Genomic DNA, 5,048 nt, shown 5'->3' on the forward strand with positions numbered 1-5,048 from the left:
CTGGGCCCAGTACTGGGAGCTCTAGGTGAAATGTTTCGGAAGGAGTCCGCTCCTCTGCGGAGCTCCTGCAGCTTCCCCTGTGGAACTGTGAGCACTGAGGTTTGAGGGTTGCAGGAAAGGTTGCAGGAGGGAGTAGCAGGATTAGAAAACTGTCTCACACTTGCTTATAGGTATATAGTGGCTGCTGAGTGAATTACTAGATGTGATTCATACAGCCCTGGAGTGCTTGGTGCCACCACACATGTTCCAGCACATCTGGCACAAAACCCATGTTCCAGGACTTCTTGCCCTGTTCATTGTTCTGTTTGTTTTACTCCCACCAAACTTAAGTTGAAGACAAAACAGCTTTTCTTTCACCCCCCCCCCCCAAATCCTTGCAGATCGGAAACCCATTCACTTTCTATCCTAGAGCGGGGCAGGCAGCAGAGCAGGCAGAAGGAAAGGAGTTCAAGGCTTCTGTCAGCATAACACCAACAGTCGACTTCCTGCGTGTGCTGTTATTTAGATTCCATCCTTCTCTTCACCTCCACTGTTCTGTACAAGACACTCAGCTAGTGGTAGGCCACATTTCCTTTTTTATGGCAACAGGGTCCTACTCTGTCACCCAGGTTGGAGTACAGTGGCACGATCCCCATTCATTGCAGCTTCTACCGTCCCAGGCTCAAGTGATCTCCCACCTCAGCCTCCCGAGTAACTGTAGCCGGGACCACAGGCACACGCCACCATACCCAGCCAATTTTTTTTTTGAGACGGAGTTTCGGTCTTGTTGCCCAGGCCAGAGTGCAATGGCACGATCTCAGCTCACTGCAATCTCCGCTTCCCAGGTTCAAAGAATCTCCTGCCCCAGCCTCCCAAGTAGCTGAGATTACAGGTGTGTGCCACCACACCCAGCTAATGTTGTATTTTCAGTAGAGACGGGGTTTCACCCTGTTGGTCAGGCTGGTCTCGAACTCCTGGCTTCAAGTGAGCCACCTGCTTACGCCTCCCAAAGTGCTGGGATTACAGGCATGAGCCACTGCGCCTGGACTAATTTTTTATTTTTTGTAGAGACAGAGTTTCTCTGTGTTGCCTAGGCTGGTCTCAAACTCCTGGTCTGAAGAGATCCTCAGGCCTCAGCCTCCCAAAGTGCTGGGACTACAGGCATAAGCCATCATGTCCCACTGCATTTCCAATTATTAACAATTATTTTCACTTACAATAAATGAATTGGATGGTGCCAATCTCCATTTTCTAGACCTTACATTCTCTTTCAGCTACTGCTCAGCTTTCTCCATCTCTCCTTTCTTCTTGAGGCAGTCTTCTATTTTGTACATTATACATTCCTGAAAATTTGAAAGACAAATATATGAAAACTATTAGATTTGCATATTATAAGGGGCTGGGCGCAGTGGCTCATGGCTGTAATCCCAGCACTTTGGGAGGCCAAGTGGGTGGACTGCTTGAGGCCAGGAGTTTGAGACCAGCCTGGCCAACATGGTGAAACCCCGTCTCTACTAAAAATACAAAAATTAGCTGGGTATGGTGGTGTGTGCCTGTAGTCCCAGCTACTCGGGAGGCTGAGGCAGGAGAATGGCGTGAAGCCGGGAGACAGAGCTTGCAGTGAGCCGAGACTGCGCCACTGCACTCCAGCCTGGGTGACAGAGTGAGATTCCGTCTCAAAAAAATAAATAATAGAAAAAAATAAATAAAATAGCATGCAAGAATGTACTAACCAGGAACCATGGCTTGTGTCTATAATCCCAGCTATGGGGAGGCTGAGGCAGAAGGATCACTTGAACCCAGGAATTTGAGGCTATGATTGTGCCACTGCACTCCAAGTGGGTGACAGAGCAAGACCTTGTCTCTTAAAATATATAAAATTAAAAGAAAAAAAAACTAAATAAAGAATGTTCTAGGTACCTAGATTCACATGGATGAAAGTTCCCATTTGGTAGTGCTACTATATGTTTCTTGGTCCCCTATGTCCCAGAGGAACCAAGGGCTAGATAGATGGTACATGGGCCTAAAGAGGATATGCCTGCTTTCCTCAGTAGCAGGCAAGCTCTAGGCCTCAGGACTATAGTGCTCCTTGAGGCCTTGGAGATGGGTAAAAACATCAGTTATCTTGCCTGGATCAGCACTCATACAGACACAAATACCCACCCACAAATAAATGTCCTTTTCTCCCAAGCTTTTCTCCCAGCAGGTAACAGCGGGCATGTAGTCCACTTTGTGTTACCCTGAAATCGTCATTAGTCACCGAAAGCCAAATACTACTTCTGTAAGATCGCCAGGACCCTACATTTGCCATCTTCACTTCCTCACCTCTTGATGCTCACTCTTCCACTCACTAAAAACGGTCTTCCACTCTCTGAAAAAATCACCCATAATCTTCTAATTGCAGAATCAAGATGATGCTGTTCTTTCTCTGACACTACTGACCAATTGTCTTTTATTTCCTTTGCCATTATGACACCAGTTGTCCTCCTACAACTCTGATCACTTCCAGAAATCATCCTCAACTCTTCCCTTTCCGTTACCGTCCCCCCCACAATACAATGAATCACCATATCCTGTTGATTCTACACATTTTCATGCTCCATCCTCTCTTCTCCATCCCCACGGCCACTGTCTTGTAACATTGCTCTCCTGGGTACCTGGGTAAGGGACACAGGTTTTGTGTTTTTTTTTTTTTTTTTCAGATGGAGTCTTGCCCTGTCGCCCAGGCTGGAATGCAATGGTGCGATCTCGGCTCACTGCAAACTCCACCTCCCGGGTTCAATGGATTATCCTGCCTCAGCCTCCTGAGTAGCTGGGATTACAGGCACCCACCGTCATGCCTGGCTAATTTTTGTATTTTTGTAGAGACGGGGTTTTGCCATGTTGGCCAGGCTGGTCCTGAACTCCTGACCTCAGGTGATCCGCCCTCCTCAGTCTCCCAAAGTGCTGGGATTACAGGCGTGAGCCACTGCGCCTGACCTTTTTTTTTTTTAAGACTAAATATTTTATTTTATATAGAATTTTAAAAATTTATTTTTTGTACATGAATAAGTTCTTTAGTGGTGATTTATGAGATTTTGATGCAGCCATCACCCAAGCAGTGTATACTGTACCCAATGTGTAGTATTTTTTTTTTTTTTTGAGACGGAGTCTTGCTCTGTCGCCCAGGCTGGAGTGCAGTGGCATGATCTAGGCTCACTGCAACCTCTGCCTCCCGGGTTCACGCCATTCTCCTGCCTCAGCCTCCCGGGTAGCTGGGACTACAGGCGCCTGCCACCACGCCCGGCTATTTTTTTGTATTATTTTAGTAGAGACGGGGTTTCATCGTGTTATCCAGGATGGTCTCGATCTCCTGACCTCGTGATCCGCCCGCCTCGGCCTCCTAAAGTGCTGGGATTACGGGCGTGAGCCACCGCGCCCGGCCTCCATTGTATCATTCTCATGCCTTTGCATCACAGGTTTCTTCTTTTTTTTTTGTAGACGGAGTCTTGCTCTGTCGCCCAGGCTGGAGCGCAGTGGCATGATCTCGGCTCACTGCAACCTCCACCTACCGGGGTCAAGTAATTCTCCTGCCTCAGCCTCCTACCGGGTTCAAGTGATTCTCCTGCTTCAGTCTCCCGAGTAGCTGGGACTACAGGCGCGCGCCACCACGCCCCGCTAATTTTTGTATTTTTCATAGAGGCATGGTTTCACCATGTTGGCCGGGATGGCCTCGATCTCTTGACTCGTGATCCGCCCACCTCGGCCTCCCAAAGTGCTGGGATTACAGGCGTGAGCCACCGCACCCTGTCTAATTTTTGTATTTTTAGTAGAAATGGGGTTTCACCACTATGGTCAGGCTGGTCTCAAACTCCTGACCTCGTGATCTGCCCACTTTGGTCTCCCAAAGTGTTGGGACTACAGGCGTGAGCCACCGAGCCTGGCCACAGGTTTATTCTTTTTGTCGTCATTGTTGCTGTTTTGAGACAGAGTCTTGCTCTGTCGCCCAGGCTGGAGTGCAGTGGTGTGATCTCGGCTCACTGCAACCTCCGTCTCCCGGGTTCAAGTGATTCTCCTGCCTCAGCCTCCCGAGTAGCTGGGATTACAGGCGTGCACCACCACACCCAGCTAATTTTTGTATTTTTAATAGAGACGGGGTTTCGCCATGTTGGCCAGGCTGGTCTCGAACCTCTGACCTCAGGTGATCCTCCTGCCTCAGCCTCCCAAAGTGTTGGGATTACAGGCGTGAGACACCGTGCCTGCCTGGTTTACATTCTCTCTTAATCCTTTGTTTATACACATCTGTGATTCACCAGACTGCGAACTCTTTGTGGGCATAAACTGAGTCTTACCCATTAGAACACGGACTTGAGCAGGGTGGCAAGTAAGGGATGGATTTCCTGAGACAGTCAACAATGAAGTTGCTTTTCCACTGCGTTCCCAACTGCTCAAATCTAGCTGGTTCCCCAATCCCAGTACACTTGCAGTAGCAACGGGGACCCTCTTCCTAAAGTTGCACCAAGCCAGGGATTCTCCACTCATTTCGCCCAGGTCCTAGCCCTGCCAGGCTTCCCCTTTGCTCCTCTGCAACCCCTGTCTAGGGAGGCGGGTGTCTTGGAAGGTCCTTGGGAGCTCCCTCCATCAATTTTGCATCTGCAATTAGGGCTACTTTACCCCAGTGAAGAAAGGTGCCCTCCGTATTAGGGCTTCCTTCCTCCAATTCCGACTGGACAGGGTAGCAGAGCGGGCAAAGTGTGAGAGCCTTTAGAAGGAAAGAGCAGGGCTCCAAGCGCCGCGAAGAATGGCCGAGGCCGACGCACAGCAGACGCTGGAGTGCAGCCCTCCTAGCCAAGCTTGGGTTTCCCCTTATCCCCGCCTCCTTCTCTAAGCTCGACCCACTTTAGGGCGGGACCACCCACTTCAGCCAATTCTGGAAGCCGAACCCTGGCGGTTTGTACTATTTCTTTCCAATAAGAAAAAAAGGAAGCAGCTTGGCTCCAATGACCAATCCGAGGAGGCGGCGCCTGGTTGTCAGGCAGTTTTGTAGGAGTTCGGGCCAATTGGAGGCGCAGGCACCGCTCGACCCGGGC

General features: G+C 49.7%; 1 long non-coding RNA gene across 2 annotated transcripts, besides 4 other annotated features; it reads right to left on the minus strand.

Annotated features, from left to right (window-relative positions):
* Positions 22 to 71: an enhancer, noted in NCBI's record as "active region_24582". NCBI's record gives its function as "activates an Ori minimal core promoter by ATAC-STARR-seq in GM12878 lymphoblastoid cells {active_cell/tissue: GM12878}" and the evidence as "EXISTENCE:reporter gene assay evidence [ECO:0000049][PMID:35858748]".
* Positions 266 to 462: a silencer, noted in NCBI's record as "fragment chr6:42947525-42947721 (GRCh37/hg19 assembly coordinates)". NCBI's record gives its function as "represses an EF-1alpha promoter that drives an FKBP-Casp9 reporter gene in an ReSE screen in phorbol 12-myristate 13-acetate-treated (for megakaryocytic differentiation) K562 erythroleukemia cells {active_cell/tissue: K562(+PMA)}" and the evidence as "EXISTENCE:reporter gene assay evidence [ECO:0000049][PMID:32094911]".
* LOC124900215 (uncharacterized) lies at positions 1,021 to 4,793 on the minus strand. Of its 2 annotated transcripts, none has more exons than XR_007059579.1 (2): positions 4,633 to 4,793; positions 1,021 to 1,322 (listed from the first exon to the last, which is right to left on the minus strand). It is a non-coding gene; the product is annotated as an uncharacterized LOC124900215 (long non-coding RNA). The 2 variants fall into 2 exon arrangements; XR_007059580.1 differs by having other exon boundaries at positions 4,311 to 4,793.
* Positions 1,701 to 1,919: a silencer, noted in NCBI's record as "fragment chr6:42948960-42949178 (GRCh37/hg19 assembly coordinates)". NCBI's record gives its function as "represses an EF-1alpha promoter that drives an FKBP-Casp9 reporter gene in an ReSE screen in K562 erythroleukemia cells {active_cell/tissue: K562}" and the evidence as "EXISTENCE:reporter gene assay evidence [ECO:0000049][PMID:32094911]".
* Positions 4,828 to 4,947: an enhancer, noted in NCBI's record as "active region_24583". NCBI's record gives its function as "activates an Ori minimal core promoter by ATAC-STARR-seq in GM12878 lymphoblastoid cells {active_cell/tissue: GM12878}" and the evidence as "EXISTENCE:reporter gene assay evidence [ECO:0000049][PMID:35858748]".

This window comes from Homo sapiens, chromosome 6 (assembly GCF_000001405.40).
Source record: "Homo sapiens chromosome 6, GRCh38.p14 Primary Assembly".
Taxonomy (NCBI): domain Eukaryota; kingdom Metazoa; phylum Chordata; class Mammalia; order Primates; family Hominidae; genus Homo; species Homo sapiens.